The 17,369-nt window shown below is 46.4% G+C and overlaps 1 long non-coding RNA gene across 1 annotated transcript; it reads left to right on the plus strand.

Annotated features, from left to right (window-relative positions):
- Nucleotides 1-983: 983 nt before the first annotated feature.
- LOC105369583 (uncharacterized) lies at nt 984-7,223 on the plus strand. The gene is made up of 3 exons (XR_948212.3): nt 984-1,111; nt 1,876-3,625; nt 4,353-7,223. It is a non-coding gene; the product is annotated as an uncharacterized LOC105369583 (long non-coding RNA).
- The last annotated feature ends 10,146 nt before the right edge of the window (nt 7,224-17,369 follow it).

A 17,369-nucleotide genomic window follows, 5' to 3' on the forward strand; every position in this document is an offset into this window, starting at 1 on the left:
GAGCTGATGCAGGGCCCACGTTGCAGCTGACAGTGCACCTGACACGGGAGCCACCGCAAGAGTAGAGGGGAAGGAGGACTTGGAGGGAAATAGAAACTGCCTGACACGAGACCCACTGCAAGAGTAGAGGGGAAGGAGGACTTGGAGGAAAATCCTGCAAGAGTAGAGGGGAAGGAGGGGAAGGAGGACTTGGAGGAAAATAGAAACTGCCTCGAGGGCTGACCAGGAGACACCCCAGCCTCTGGGATTTCCCAGTTTGGAGAGGGTACTGGGCTGCCACAGGTCATGATGCAGCCAGTCTCATCTAGAAGCTCAGAGGCAGGGTGAACTCAGAATATATCTGATTTCAATAAAAACTGAACATTTAGGTCAAATCACTATTTAAGTCCTTCCAGTCTCAGCTTGGGTGATTTCATGAGCCCTCTTCTCTAGCTAAACTCTGAGGTCCAGACCTGGGGTGAACCCACCTGCAGCCCAGCTACTGGGGTCATTCCAGCCCCTGTCCCCATGGTCTCCCACGGGGAGGGTCTCTGTTCCCCCTGAGCTCTGTGAGCAGCCCTGCTGTGGGACAGCACTTTCTCCCTGATTGAGTGAGGATTTTGACCCACCCCAGCAGTGACAGAAGGGTGCGTCACATGAGTGGAACCAGGGACAGAGAGCAACATTTGGAAGAGTCCACATGGAGACACCAGTGTGCCTGGCAGGGTAGAGGCGGGCCCTGGAGAAGGCAGGGTAGAGGCGGGCCCTGGAGAAGGCAGGGTAGAGGCGGGCCCTGGAGAAGGCAGGGTAGAGGCGGGCCCTGGAGAAGGCAGGGTAGAGGCGGGCCCTGGAGAAGGCAGGGTAGAGGGGGGCCCTGGAGAAGGCAGGGTAGAGGCGGGCCCTGGAGAAGGGTGCGGCTCCCTAGGGAGAGCATTGGGTGGCGCAGGAGTCGAGGAGCAAAAACCAACCCACCCATGACTCACAGGGCCCTGGAAGCAGAACGAGGCGCCCCAACCCAGACACTTGGGCTGCATTGGAGAGGACAGAGTTGCCGTCCTGACCTGCTGTGAGCAGTGTGGCTGTGGCAAGAGACAGATCAGCTCTGGGGGGAAGCCTCAAGCGATGAAGCCAGGTAGCCCTCACCTTGTCACTACCTGTGTGACTTTCAGCAGGAGTCACACTCTGTAAGCCTTAGATTCCCAATCTGTAAAATGTTTCATAGGACTATTGGTGAAGGATGAATGATGTAGAATGTATTGAAAATTTAGTCAGGTGCCTGACACAGAGCGAGTGCTTGGTGAGTGTGAACCATTATTCCAGTTCAAGGGAAAGGCAGGTCAGAGGTCCTGGAGAGGAAGTGCCTACACTCCAGGTGTCTAAGGTGGCCCCTTCCCTCTCCTCTTCCCTGTGGGGACAGAGTGCTGAGGTGGGAGCAGGCTGGAATGAGATCCATGCAGCCTGGGACCTGCCTGTGCCACTGCCAGCCACCACAGGTCTCCCTATTGCCTTTCACTTGTGCGGTGGGCACTGAGCAGGGGCCTCTGACCCCCAGGGACAGGAGGCTCTGGGCAGCAGGGGCGCAGGCACTCCCAGGAGGAGAGGGTCACAGGGACAGGCAGGAAGGAGGGGAATTCCAGAAAGCTTCCCAGGGAGATGCTGACCCTGGGGTCTCTGTCTGGAAGGGGAGAAGGTAGCAGCGGGTACCAAGATGGGGATAGACTCGGGGGCCAGGCGTGGCACTGGCTGGACCATCATACATCAGGGCATGGCCCCCGTGCTCTGAGGCAATTCACGGAAGCCCCAGGCCTCTGTGCAGCCCCCAAGAGAAATGTTTCCCCAGTGTCCACAGGCCGCTGTTGGGACATAATTCATGAGGCTGATCTGTATTTCCAATAGGACACAGTGCAGAACGGCTGTTTGATGGGGATGGGGAGACTGGGAGCAGCTGTGCGGAAGTGCAGAGGAAAAAGGAGCTCAGCCTGCCCTCAGGAAGCTCCGGATTCATGGGAGGAAGGTGCTATCCATGTCACCAGTGCTGTGTAGGCTGCCGTGGAAGAGAAGATTCACTCGGGAGACCCCTGGACATCCTGGGAAGAAAGCAGGACACTCTGTGTAACCAGAAGCCTTGGACCCACTACCCACTGCCATGGATCCTCGAACAGGCCTTTTGCCCTCTCGAGAATTAGCTTCTCTGAGCCTTTTTTGGTCCTGCCAGGGCCCCAAGCATTGTTGGGAAATTGGGGAGTCCCTTGGCTCTGCGATGAGTCATTGGCGCTGGCAGAGAGAAGCCTTCCCATTTGCATTCACGCAAATGAAGTGGGGAAATCCTAGGTTTGGAAACTTAGACCGTGAGCGCTTCTCTTTTCCAAGTTTCCTATAACCCATAGAAGTCAGGGCTTAAATCAGAAGAGCTTCCTGACTTTGCCCTTATTATGATCCTGAATAGATACTGCCCTCTGCATGTTAGTTTCCTCATCTGTAAAACAGACTCACATGCTAATTGTGAGGCTCACCTGAAGTGAGAGGGGTGAAAGGTGTCTGTAAACTTGAAAGTCCTATGCAGATGGTGCTGCTAGGAGGGTGACAGCATGAGCCTGGTTACTGTCATCCCTCAGACCTATGGCTTCTCCTGGAGCCTCACCACCACTAGGTCATAGCTGGAGGCTGCCTGGGTTCATCTTGTGACATCACAGCGGACACACAAGCCCGGGCAGAAAAATGAAAATGCTCTATAGATGCTCCCGAAATGTGGTCCCTACGTGTTGCCATGACCAGAGAACTTTCTGGAAACAGCACCCAAGGCATTGGGTAGCTTTTCTTTCCCATAAATAGCATCTCCTGCTGTGTGGCCCAGAGTCTCCCGAGAATCTCTGCTGCCCAGATCCCCCTTCCAGCTCCTCCTGTCAGTTGGGGGGCAGGCTTGGCAATGCTGGAGAACAACTGGCACCTGCAGACATCAGCAACGGCTCGGTCTGAGGTGCACTCTGGCTTGGTGCAAATGAGCCCAGCCCCTGGGCTCCTAATATGGCTTCTCCAGCCTTCTTTCCAGGAGGCTGGCTCATTTCTCAGTCTCAATCCTGGAATGACAGAAGGTTCTCTCCTCTAAAAACCCACTTTTCTAGGCACTCTATGTTGAAATCTCAAACTCCTGGACACAATCCAAAGGTGAAGCTTCCTGATACACCTGCCCCTCCCATTTTGAACACAGCATTCCAGCCTCTTGGCAGCTTGGGATTGGTTCGTAGCTGCATTGCGGCACTTTCCTCCTCTGGCCAGGTGTCATTGCCATCTGGGCATGTGGTCATCTCCTGTACATGACTGTGACCCCTACAGGATAAGGAGCCTCTCCCTCTTCCTGCACCTTCCACAGTGAACCAAGCACTGTGTGGGATGAGAGACTCAGGCTTTGAGACTCACTCAATACTCGCAGTACTGCCACTCGTGGTTTGGTATTGAGCAGTAGTTTGTAAACCAGTTTCATACGTATATTTTTTTTATTTAAACTTTCCTGAAATGTTGTCTTCTGCATCAGGGAGATGGCAGGAATGAGAATGACTGTCAGAGCCTTTCCTTCCCAGGTCCCAGCACAGTGCAGCACGTCGGAGACCCTGCGGCACGTCGGAGACCCTGCAGAAGGGCCTATTCAGTGAGTTCTCAAGGTGCTGTTCTCATGATGGAGGTGGGAAGATGGAAGCTCAGGGAGTTTAAATGAGCATTCTAAGGTTTAGTAAATGCTAAAGACCAGACACAAAGCCAGGTCCTCTGATCCCAACAGCAACACTTTTTCCAGTGGAGGAGAATCCAGGAAGAGCTACAATCATTCTGATGCTGAAACTGCGCTTTTCAGCTCCCTCGGTCACTTGAAGACATGATCTTTCCCACCGTGGCTCCTGGCTTCTCCCTCCATTCCAGCTTGAACACTCTACATACTCGAGCACTAATCACACAGCCAACATTGGGACTTTCTGACGGGGGGTGCCATGGCAGCCTGTTGCTCTGAGAGCTGGTTCACACCTGGGCTGAGATGTGGATTCCTCCCCTTTGCAGGTGGAGACTGGGACTGCCATGGGCCTCCCCAGCTGGCCCCCTTCGGCAGCAAGTAGCAGCCCCATGGAGGGATGCCAGCATGCCCTGGTGCCTTGCAGTGCTCACACTCTCCACATATGCATGTCACGAATGAGAGAGGGCTGGGCAACACTCTCTGCCCCACACCCGTACCCAGACCACATGCATCCTCTCTCCTCCTCCCCGGAACAGCTCCCGCTTTGAGAAAGCTTTTCCTAAACAGGTCGTAAGGAGTTTTCCCGGTTGTCTCTCTGGCACCCAGGCTTTCTTAACAAAACCTCCCCATTCACTTATCTTCTGTCCCGCAGGGTCGCTGGTGGACGCTCCCCTGCACTCAAGTCACCAAATCCCACAGAGGGTTGGAGAAGAGGGGGCGGCTTTGCAGTGAGACAGACCTGCGTTCGAATTCCAGCTTTGGTTCAAATGACGAGCTGTGTGCCCTGGGGCAAGTCATTTGTTTAGTTTTTGTTCATCAACTTCCTCCTCTGTAAAATGAGAATGGACTTGAGTAAAAACATGCCTGTGAAGTATTTAGCAAAGAGCCGGCACAGGGTAATCACTCACTGCATAGTTACTACTGTCCTGGTCATTGTCATGACAATTACCAGTCACTCTCTGTTTCCTTCCTGACTTTAGACGGCACATCTAAAAGCCCCCACGACAACATCTGACACAACGTAACGAGATTGTAGCGCTGTCTAAGAAACAACCCTGCAAAGCAGCCACAAACTAGGCTCTCATCCCGACGATTTGAGCGCCCTGGTTACATGGAAGTTTAATTTCTTCCTGGCTAAATCTAGAACGTGGGAAATTCTGCAGAAATAAATGACCTAGTTTCTTGAACAGAATAAACTGCATGGGAAGAGGGGAATGCAGGTGTGACAGGTGTAAAGAAAGCAGCCGGTGTGTGTAGGCCCTGGATAAAACCTGATTGAAACACAGTGACTGTAAGAAGGTCCCTCTCCCCACTTTTTTGAAAACCTCAAGAAATTTGAGCATAAGCCAAGTATTAGTTTAATTGTTAGAAATCTTGTTAGATATAATTGTAGAAGTGCAGTTATGGGCTAAATATGTTTATTTATTAAAAATACATGAGGAAGTACTTTCAGGTAAAATTGTAATGCCTGGAATTTGCTAGAAAATCTCTGAGGAGAGATCTGAGGGTGGGGAGATGAAAGAAGCCAGGCATGAGCCGGGGGAGGTACAGAGGCTGAGGCTGAACACCCTTCACTCTTCTTTCTACTCTCATGTAATGTGGATGTTTCTATAATGAAGTAAGTATAAAAGTCAACAAAACCTCCCACTAACCTAACTGTGTCCGGGTTTCCGAGGTTCCCGGTTTCAGCTCAGCTGCCTGTGTTCTGGGGAGGGACTCCTCTCCAGCTGAGGGATCCGCGGGGACTGGCTCCCTCACACACACACAGCAGCACCTGCTGCCCGGGCACTCAGGCCTCTGCCTTACACCCTCTCTACCACGCTAGACACGCAGGACCCTGGGCCAGTGACCTAACCCCTCTGCACCTCGGAGCCTCCGTGTCAAACTGGGCTTGGGGATATCAAGCCTCTAGGCTTGTGTCTGCTGCATAAGAAGCCCTCCAAAAGCATTGCTCCACCCCTCTCTCGGGCTCTGTTCTCTCCTGGTCTATCTAAACCTCAGATGGCTACAGAAGCCCAGCACTCTGTGAGCCTGTCAGGGGAGCTGATGGCCCCAGTGATGCAGGCCTGGCAGTCTGGGGTGAGGAAGACAGCTCCAAGCCCAGTCACCTCTCCCTTCCTGTGCCTATCTGTGAACTAGAGCTTCAAGCAGCTCCAAATAAACTCGAGAGCTCCTGGCTATGCAACATTGATATCTTGGCCTCGAAGCGGGAAATCTGAGCCAACTTAATATCTTCCTTGAATAATCTGCTAATTTTGATGCCAGGAGCACTTCACCAGCTGTCGATAGCTCCAGTGAGAAATGAACCAGAAGAGACACGTTTGACCTGCTGTGGATTCAGATCCAACCACACGTGTGGGACTTGGGAGACAGGCACGTGGGTGTGCACGTTGTCAGCAGGGGCTGGCTTCAGACTGAGGCTGAACACATACAGGAGCCCAGACCAGGTGGCCTTGGCCCTTGTAGGCGATGGTGAGAATACTGATTTGTATTAAGAGGAATGAAAGATTTGGAGAGGAAGCAATTCTGATTTTCACCATCAAATGACAAGAACTGATCTTCTGCCTTTAAGTAGTTATAATTAGGTCATTGCAAAATTAACAAAATTAATAAGCTTATATCTGGGAGACCTCTTAAGACAGCAGTGTCCAGCTGGGTAATGGCACGGATTATGCCCACACAGCCTGGCCACTCTGTTGGGGGAGCAGCCCCCGCTGGAGCAGCCTAGGGAGAGGATGCAGGCCTTCCCCATCAGCTCAGCAGCTTATGGCTCAGTGGGTTTAGATGCTGGTAGTAAGCTCCTCACCCTCTTGCCCAATGTCTACAAAGGGTTGTTTTGTTCATGATGTCCAGAGGTCTAGTTGCTCATGACAGGTGGATAAGTCCAGTGACTCCACTGGGGCCTGAGGCAGAATTGTTGCGGCACCTCCTCGTTTCTCCCGTTCCCTCCCCTATCCCAGGCAGGTCCTGGCTAAAGACGTCCTTGGCCAGCTGGGTGTCAGGGGTAGGATCTTGCCCCTCAACTCCTGGCCACAGGGGGACTTTCTCCTTATCTACAGCCCAGGCCAATAGTCTCTTTCTCTGTCCTTAAGGGATTTAGGGAATAGCCGGTCCTCTCTCACCCTCGAATGGATCACATGTTATTGATCTCATGTGTCACCACCCAGGGTAGGTTTCTGTGGCCTGCATCCAACTCCAGGCAGGCGCTGCTCCTCGTCTCCCAGGCACCACAGGCATTTTCCTCCGTGTGCCCTCTCAGAGGCTGTGGTGGTGTGTGTGGAAAGAGCCTGCACCCCTTCTGTGTCAACTTCATCACCAATTAAGTAAAGCTTGGCATCCTCAGAGGAAAGATTTTATTATAAATTCTTAACATATTTAGAAATATCAGCATAATCATTATAATGCATTATTCAGTTAGTTAAATGTGCTTTAAAAAAAAACATGAAATATATCTTCATTGTACAGGCATCTGTTGTTTCTTGCAAACGATTATCTGTCACTGAATCATCAATTTTTTATTTTATTGTGTGTCTAAGGCTATTTGTTCTAATTAAGGCGCATGCATGGTGCCAAGCAGGCTTGCCTGACTGTGGAAGGGGCTCCAGTCCTGCTTTGTCTAACAGTCCTGAATGTGCTGGATGGGCAACCCCAGGAGTGACAGGAGTCAGGATTTTGGGACAGGCATGTCAGGGGTGTGTGAGCTCAATCCCACCCCTGCAGGAAGGTTTCTGCCCACCAGGACCCACAGCCCTGTATGCCTGAGTCCCACCCTCCCTTCCCCACCTGATGTGCCTCTGACACCCAAGAAAGGAGGCTGCAGAGAGGCCCCTGGCAGCTCCTGTCCTGCTCTGCCAGGCAGGCCACCCAGGGGACAGTGGCAAGCCCTGTGGTGGGCACCCTGGGTTCTGGGACTTCAGGGAGCAAGGGCTAGGAAGGAGGCAGCTCCTGGGACTGGCATTCTTCCCTGGAGATGCAGGCTCACTCTGAGCCTCCTCTCCTGGGCTCCAGGTGCAGAAGGGGAGGGGTGGTGCTGGGGAGATGGAGGTGGGGAGAAAAATGAAGTTTTATTAAGGGGTCACTATGTAATGAGAGGGATTTATAGATAATAAGGCAAAGAAAATTAAGAGTGAACATGATGATGAGCTGAGACAAGAGGCTTTATGACTTTCCCTCTGGCCACATCAAGTCTACCAAGCATAAAAGATGGGAAATAAAAACAAAAAAGGCATTGTCCCTTTCAGAGTGCTCTAAAGTTGGCACCTCTCATAGTGGGGTTTGATGTTGGCTTCACACTATAGACTCACTCTTTCCCTCTCCCTAAGCATCCCCCACCTCCCCTCCCAGCACAGGAGCCTCCAGTGAGACATCCACCCCTTCCCCCATCCAATAGCCACTTCCTTTTAGCACTCACAAATCATAATGTTGAGCTGTGTGTGTGTGTGTGCACGCATGTGTGTGTGAAAAGAGCAGAGAAAGAGAATACACTTTATCTACTGTAGGATCCGTGCTCTCAGGGATGCGGTGCTCCAAGGCACAGGATCCTGCCTGGTGCACCCCTATATGATGACAGTGACCCCCATCCAGGTGTTTTGAGGGTGAAGTGGAGGGATGAGTGCAGTGATGACTCACAGGCTGCCAGCATGTGATTTCCCTTCCCCGTTTATGCTTGGTGCTGGGGGTGGTGTTGTAGAATGAGTGTCAGCCTGGCTCCCCACCTCCTACCTGTTAATCTTCGGGAGTAGTTGTGAGCATGAGCCCTTCAAGGCATTTCTGTTCTGCCCCAGTTAGGGACATGAGGTAAACACAGGCCTTTGGTTTCTCCAGGATTGATATAACCCAGAAGTGTTGGAAAGTTAAGTTTCCATGGGCTTAAGGAACAATAAGAGATGGAGAAGGGAAAGAGAATGAACAAGATCATTCGTGTTCCTCCTGGTCCTGGCTTGCAGCAGGTCATATGGCTCCAGCGTGGCAGCATGCCCTTCATGTCTCCCTCCCCTCTCCTAATTCCATCACTCATGCCTCCCAGGAACACATATCCCAATGAGGCGTGCACATAATATTTTTGCTTTTAATTTAACTTATTATACTGAGAGAATTGTAGATTCACATGCAGTTGAGAAAAATAATACAGAGAGATCCTTGTTCCCTTTACTCAGTCTCCTCCAGTGGTAACACCTAGTAAAACTATAGAGAATATCACAACCAAGATTTTCTCCTATGCTGTTGTTAGTATTTTACAAACAGTTTTACAGCTTCTATTCTGTACTAAGTTAGTGATCCATTTGGAAGTTAATTTTTGTATAAAGTGTGAGGTTTAGATCAGTGGTATTTTTTCCCTGTGGATGTTCAACTGCTCCAGCACTGTTCGTTGATGAGATTCTCCCTCTTCCACGAAATTGCTTTGCACCTTGGTCAAAATCAATCAGGCATATTTGTGGGGTCTTTCTCTGGATTCTTTTTCTGTTCCGTTAATCTGTGTGTCTATCCCTCCACCAATACTACACAATCTTGCTTACTATAGCAATATAATATGTCTTGAAATTAGGTTAGAGTGATTTCTTCTACTTTCTTTTTATTTTTCAAAATTGTTTCAGCTACTCTAGTTCTTTTCACTTCCTATATAAATTTTAAAACAATTCAGCCTGTATTTATAAAAAAGCTTGCTGGGATTTTGATAGGAATTGCCTTAAACCTGCATACCAATTTAGGGAGATTGACATGTTTAATATGTTGAGTTTTCTAACCCACAAATATGGTATGTCTTTCCGTTTATTTAGATCTTCTATTATCTCTTTTACTAGGATTGTGTAGGATTTAGCATACATGTCCTATACATGTTTTGTCAGATCTATATTTTTCATTTCACATTGTTTTGAGTGATTATAAACGGTAATGCATGTTAAATTTTGGTGTCTTCTATGTACTAAATTGTCATCCCCCTCGAATCGATATGTGGAAACCTAACTCTCAGCGTGATGGTGTTCAGAGATGGGCCTTTGGTAGGCGATGAGGTTTAGATGAGGTCAGGAGGGTGAGGGCTTCGTGGTAGGATTAGTGCCCTTATGAGAGGAGACCCCAGAGAGCCTCCACATGCTCTCAGCAGCATGCTAGGGCATGGAGGAAAGTGCTGTCTACAAGCCAGGAACTGGCTCACAAAATAAGGTGAGCTGTGTTTCCACCTCCTCTATATTTTGGAAGACATTGTGAAGAATTGGTGTTAATTCTTCTTTATGTGTTTGGTACAATGTACCAGTGAAGCCATCTTGTCCTAACTTTTCTTTGTGGAAACTTAAAAAAAAACTACTAAGTCAGTATATTTATTTGTTTGTTTATTTATTTTTGACACAGGTTTTACTCTGTCACTTAGACTGGAGTGCAGTGGTACAACAGTAGCTCACTGCAGCCTCCAACTCCTGGGCTCAAGTGATCCTCCTGCCTCAGCCTCTTGAGTAACTGGGACTACAGGTGCACACTGCCATACTCTTCTATTTGTTTTATTTTTATTTTTTGTAAAGATGGGAGTCTCACTTTGTTGTCCAGGCTCTCCTTGAACTCCTAGCCTTAGATCTTCCTGCCTCCACCTCCTAAAGTGTTGGGATTACAGGTGTGAGCCACAGTGCCTGGCCTCTATTTACTTGTTAGAGATCTTTTCCTATTTTCTATTTCTTTCTGAGTTAGTTTGTGTAGTTTGTGTCCTTCTAAACATTTATCCATTTTCACTAGGTTATCTGATTTTTTTGGCACACAATTGTTCACTGTATTCTTTTATAGTACTTTTTATTTCTGTAAAGTTGATGCTAATGCTTTCACTTTCCTTTCTTTTTGTAATAATTCAACCCTTTTTTTGTGGTCTAGCTAAAGGTTTGTCAATTTTGTTGATATTTGTGGAGAAACAACTTTTATTTTTCTTGATTTTCTCTATTGGTTTTTATTCTTTATTTTGTTTTTCCCACCAGTCATGACTTCCTTCCTTCTAATTGCTTTGGGTTTGGTTTGCTTTTCTTCTAGTGTCTTCAGGTGAAAGATTAGGTTATAGATTTGAGATTTTTTATTATAGGTGTTTGTAGCTATAAATTTTCTTTTAAGCACTCTTTTTTGCTATATCCCATATTTTTTGGTATGTTGTGCTTTTGTTTTTCACCTCAAAAGTATTGACTAATATCTCTTCTGTTGTGTTCTTTGTTGTATCCATTGCTTGTTTAGCACTTTTTTAATTTTTATAAAGTTGAGAATTTCTCAAATTTTATTTTTTATTTCTAATTTCATTCTATTGTGGATAGAGAACATACTTTCTATGATTTAAATTGTTAAAAATGTATTAACACTTGTTTTGTGACCTACCATGTGGTCTCTGCTGGAGAGTATTCTGTGTGCACTGAAGAAGAATGTGTGGAAAGCTGCTGTGGGTGAAGTGTTCCAAAGATGTAGAGATGTCTCATGAGTTTACAGTTTTCTTATGTATTTTATTGCTCTTCTGTCCTGTTGTTTTATCCATTACTGAAAGTGGGGTATGGAAACCAACAACTATTACTGTTGAATTATCTCTTTTTCCCTTCATTTATTTTATGCTCATGTATTTTGAAGCTTTCTTGTTTAATTTGTATATATTCACGACTCTTTTACCTTCTTGATAGATTGACCCTTTTATTATTATAAAATGTCCTTTTGTGGTTTGTGATAACAGTTTTTGTGTTGAAATCTGTTTTGTCTGATATTGGTATAGATACTCCAATTGGTTTTTGGTTACTGTTTGTGTGCTATCTCATTGTTACCTTCTTACTTTTAATTTATTTTTGTCTTTAAATCTTAACAGTATCATTTGTATATAGCACATTGTTGAATTACGTTTTTAAAAGATAGCCTGCCGATCTCTTTCTTTAAATGTTAGTGTTTAATTTATTATGTTTAATGTAATAATTATTAAGGTTTATTCCTGCATTTTGGTCTTCGCTTTTTAAATATCTGACATCATTTTTGTTTCTTTTTTTATTATTACCTTATTTTGTTAAGATATCTTCTCTTACATTGTAATCACATTGTCATTTATTTTACTCATTTTTGTTATTTTTCTAATGCTTGTCCTGGAGGTTACGATTAACATTTTGACTCATGACTATGTTGTTTAGATTAATTGCAATATATTATACTTACATAACTTTAATATGATACAAAAACTTTGCTCCAGTTTGAGTAAAGTATACAATCCTTACCAAATGTTACATTCCTTTATCTACCCATGTAAAATATAATTATCTGAAATGTTTCCTTTACTTACATCTAAAAATACACTAGACAGTATTATAATATTTTCTTAGCCTTCAAACATAATTTGAAGTATTCAAGAAGAGTTCTAAAGTCTATTGCATTTACTCATCTTTTTAACTATTAGCATGTATTTTTCCTTTCCATGATTTTTTCTTTTATTATTTTCTTTCTGTTTAGAGAACTTTCTTATGCATACTTTTAAGGTAGGGTGCTGGTGACAAATTTACTTAGTTTTTCTTCATTCGAGAATGTCTTGATTTCTGTTTTATTCTTGCAGGATACTTTTTCTGGATATATAATTCTAGATTAAAAGTTCTTTTCTTCAGCACTTGAAACAGTGTGCCAATACTTTCTTGCCTTCATGATTTCAGGTGAGAAATACATTGTCATTAGGATTGTTTTTCCTATGTAAGTAAGATGCCTTCAATTTTTAGAAATTTGACTCTGATGTTTCTTGGCATGGATATCTTTGAATTTATCCTATTTGGGATTAACTTGGCTTCTTAAAACTGCAGGTGTGTGACTTCTGACAAATTTGGGAAAATTGTAGCCATTTTTTAAAAAACAGTGTTTCAGCACCAACCGTTTTCTCATCTCTTTTCAGGACTCTAGTGACACAAATATTCGATATTTTGTCTAGTTCCGTAATATTTTGCATAATCTCTTTTCATTTTTATCAGTCTGTTTTTTCTTATTGTTCAGATTGAGTAATTTCTAATGTTAAATCTCAAATTTATGAATTCTTTCCTTTGTCCTTTCCATTTGGATGTTGAGTCAATAAATTGAATTCTTAAATTTATTTTATTGTATTTTTTGTTTTTTCAATTTTAATTTTTAAATTTACATTTTGTTTTGGTTCTAAGCTTTCCATTTAGTTTTTATTATCTTCTATTTCTCTGCTGAGATTTTCTATGTTTTTATTTGTTTCAAGCATGTTTATTATTACTCATTAAAGCATTTTAACCATGACCATTAAAATCTTTGTCAAATAATTCTAACATCTTTGTTATCTCAGTGTTAGTATATAATCAATTGTCTTTTTCATTCAAGTTGACATTTCCCTATTTCTTGGCATGACAAGTGATTTTCTTCCTTCTTTTTTTTTTTTTTTTTTTCCTGAGACAGGATCTTACTCTGTTGCCCAGGCTGGAATGAACATGGCTTACTGTAGCCTTGACCTCCTTTGTTCAAGTGATTCTTCGGCCTCAGCCTCCTGGGTAGCTGGGACTGTAGGTGTGCACCACCACCTGGTTAATTTTTTAAATTATTTTTTGTAGAGATGGGATCTCGCCGAATTGCCCAGGCTGGTCTTGAACTCCTGGACTCAAGTGATTCTTCTGCCTTGGCCTCCCAAAGTGGTGGGATTACAGGCATGAGCTGCCCTGCTTGACTGGACAGATTATTTTCAATTGGAACCTGGATACTTTGGATAGTGTGGTATGAGACTCTAAATCTTATTTAAGCCTTCTGTTTTCACTGGCTCATTGCTGTCATGTGGAGGCAGAAACCCAGGCTCCCCACTTGGTCTCTATTGACACCCGGGTTGGGGAGTGCTCCCTGTTATTGCTGTGTGGAAGTGGGAGTCCTGTCTCCCCACGTCTCCACTGATACCCTGGGGGTGAACTGGTTATTCTCTCTGGGTGCTGGTGAAAGTCCTGGCTTTCCACTAGGCCTCCTCTGATGCTGCTCAGTGTGGAGCAGAAGGAGGGCCTTGTCACCGACAGGCAGAAGTGGAAGTGCCGGCCTCTGATGTGTTCTCCGTCAACACGGCTGCCCAACAGTGATAATAGTGTCTGCTCCCTCCTCCATCTCCCTTCCCACAACCCTTGAGAGTGTGAACAAGTCTGGGTGCTTCATCACGGCACTGCAAGGGCAGAAATCAAGGTTTTCCACTCAACTTCTGCTGGTCTGGGTAAGGTGGAGCCATGGTTTTTCTAGGGTGTTTGGCTGGAGTAGGGTGGGTCTTGTCTAAAGAGGCTCAGTCCTCCTGTGCTGTCCGTGTCCCTGGTCACTTGGCTAGAGACAGCAGGGTTCTGCTGGGGACTTTTCCTTGGCTGATTGGTGTTGATGGCTTCTTTGCATCCAAATCTGGGATATATAAGATTTAAAAAATTAGCATACCTCAGAGAACTCACTGTGGTATTGCTTCTCAATGCTTAGAGTTCTCCCAAGCTCCCAATTGGTCTGCCTTGCTCTTTCTACCTTTCAGTGTCTTTTTATGTTTTCAAAAACATATTGTGCAGGAATTTCAGTTGTACTTAGTAGGAAACTGTTTTTAGTTGTATCTAAAGTTGTAGGAAAAGTACTTCTGCTCCATCTTCCCAGAAGTCAAAGTCATCGATACCACATAATCTCTTGCCACAGAATCTAAAATGCCTAAACTTGACAGTGGTTATCAGGAGTGGCTCTCAAAATTAAATTATTGGAATGAGATTTTACAGCTGGATAAGCACTCATCCAAAGGTACTAGAAACCACAGCGAGTTACTGTTAATAAGCAGGGTGGTGATAACACCTGGTGTATATCATATGTACCCCATAATTAGGTAGAATATTATGTATCAGTAAAAATAAAAAATTTTTAAAAAGAAATAAAAATATTAATTGAGTAAATAAATGAATAACTTGATGACCACACACTCACTCACACACACACACACACACACACACACCCCGTTTCTGAGGCTTTTGTACTGAGATAGTTAGAAGTTGAAGCTTTGGGATGTGAATAGTGATGGTGTTCAATTTATACGTGTGCAATGATGGATACAAAAATATGGTATTGGCTGATATTTATCATGGCCTTTGAAGCCTTGCAAAAAGAAAATAACAGCCACATGGAATCTGAGTGCCTGTCACAATGAAGCTATGCCTCCTCAGTATTTATCTCCTAAGCAGGAAGGGTGAGAGGTAATAACCTATCTGCCACATAAATGACAGGATCTGGCTACCATGCACCAGTAGGAAGTTGCTGTGGCAGCATCCCAAAAGATGTTTCGGAAGATCCCTGAAGCTTGGATTTGACAGTGGTGTACAGTGAATGAGGCGGTGTTAGGCCTTCCTTGGGATAGGGTTGAGGAAGGGCTCAGAAGGCTCATGAATTTAGACATGTTACCAAAGCTGTGCTATGTGAGGCCTGAGGGTGCATCATCTGATCATGTTTCCTCAAAGGGACAGGAAAATCGTCCTCCGCTAAGACAAGAAGGCAGGCAGTGGTGAGAGGCCGTTGGTGTGTTTGAGAAGACGGGTGCGGGAGGAACTCCGAAGGCCACGTTTATGGTGAGGGATGGTATCACGTTCTCCAATATCCACGAGGATTGTGAGGTTCTGGAGTGACATGGCAGAACCTAGATCTTAAATGTCAGATAAAAGTGGACATAATCTCCATGGTGCGCAGAGGGTGAAGTTGTCTTCAGTATGGTTTGACCCAATGGCTAACAGACTGCCATGAATCTAGGGACAAATATGTAGGCAGAGGCTCAGGGTATTGCTGGATGTATGTGGCGGTGACGTCAGGCTGGCGGCTTTGATGCGGGTAGGCACGTGGGCGGTGGGAGCCCTTTGCAGTGCGAGCTCCCGGGGAAGTCTGTTTTATGCAAACCACATGACCAGCAGTAAAACAGATTCTTGCAGGCAGCGGATCCCAGCTGCACCCTTCTCTTTGTGATTTACATGAGACAGGACAGTAGGGTCTGGGACTCTGGGCTTCCCATGACCTGGCCCCAAACAGGGGCTCTCAGAAGTTTCAGAAGAAGAAATTGCTGCAGTGGTTTTCTCTCTTCCCCGCTTCCCTCCCTTCCTTTCTTCTCTTTCTTCCTTTTCTCTTTCCTCCCTCCCTCCCTCCTATCCTTCCATTCCTCCCTTTCAAGTACCTCTTCGCAAACTCCAGGACTTAACAAAGAGAATGTTCTTTTCTCTCTCTTTTTGGATCTTTGGGGTTAATTCAGCTCATTCTGTCTGCTGGTCCAAGTTAATGCTGTGTTTTAAGGCTCCTCACCTTTTCTTGATGAAAGAAATAGACGTCAGTTTCAGCAGAACAACCCGATTCATCCTTGGATGTTAATAAGCCTCCATGGGTGGAATCCTGATGCCAACCAGGGCTGGAGTGCCTGGGGGGCTGGGTCTCCTCTTCCCAGCACTGTGACGAGAGCCCAGCATCATGACCCCAGGCCTTCCAGCCAGGCCAGTGCTACCCCCAGATGATGGGGGCCTTTGGGCTCCATGCACCTGCTTCATGCCCACAATACTTCCTGAGGAGGAGGAAGAGAGAGAGAGCGTGAGAGCGAGGGTGAAAGCAGGAGAGAGAGAGAGAAGAGGATGGTGTGCATGTGGCTTCCAGCTTCCACAAGAACCTCATGAGGGAGGCATAGGAACATTATCTGAGGATTCTGCCAGGTGACGGGGCTTCCCTGGCAGGAAAGAGGGGGCGCAGGCTGCCTGGTCAGGTGCCACCGGGGCTGCTCAGTGGTCCAGCCTGCTGAGCACCAAGTCGCCTTCACCAAGCGCTTCCTGCCTGCAGAATAAGCCCAGCTGAGCAGTGCAGAGGAGCCTGAGGGAGAGGGCCCTTGCTAGAACTGCCCTGGATACATCACGCAGGTGCCTCCACTGGGACAGGCAGGCAGCCCTCAGCCAGGATGGCCGGCCTTGGGGGTGAGGGCAGCTGTCTGTTCATGGCTGTCCTGTGGGAGAGAGCAGATGCAGCCTTGTGAACAAATGAGCCTGTCACAGTTGGCATCCTTGTGAAATCAAAGTCAGCTGTACTCACTGAGTGAGCTACTTTCTTCTGTGAGTAGTTTATTACAGTTTCCTATACTGTATTATTATACTATATACAGGATAAAATATGTGTAACACTATACATTATGCTGTACTATGTTACTTATGGCAGCAGTTTCTACGGCTTTCTACTACATGGAAGGCTGTAAGCCGGGCCAACAGCGATCCTGACCCTGCAGGTTTCACAGTCACACTCACAACTCATTGTGGAACTGGGTGTGGGGTGGCCTGAGATGTATGTTGCACCAGAGAACCATGGGCTTTGGAATCTGTGTGAGGGAGTCAGGGACGCCTGTCGGAGGAGGGGAGACGTGACTGGTTGGTCATGGAAGGCTACAGTTTCGCAGATGGTGTCGGTGGAGTTTGGGGCAGGGCATTCTGAGCCTGGGAAGGTTTGGGGTGAAGGCCCGGAGGCTGGCGCGTAGGAGGCTAAAGCAGCAGGGAGGTCTGGGGAGAGTCAGGTGGGGTTGTGTCTTCCACGTTGCAGGCCGTGCTCACAGATGGTGAAAGACGTTGTGGAAAAGAGAGCTCACGAACGAAAAAGGTTGAGTCAAGTCGCTCGGCTGTGCTGTGAGTGTGGGAGGTGCCCGGCTGTGCTGTGGGTGTGAGAGGTGCCCGGCTGTGATGTG

Source organism: Homo sapiens, chromosome 11 (genome assembly GCF_000001405.40).
Source record: "Homo sapiens chromosome 11, GRCh38.p14 Primary Assembly".
NCBI lineage: Eukaryota > Metazoa > Chordata > Mammalia > Primates > Hominidae > Homo > Homo sapiens.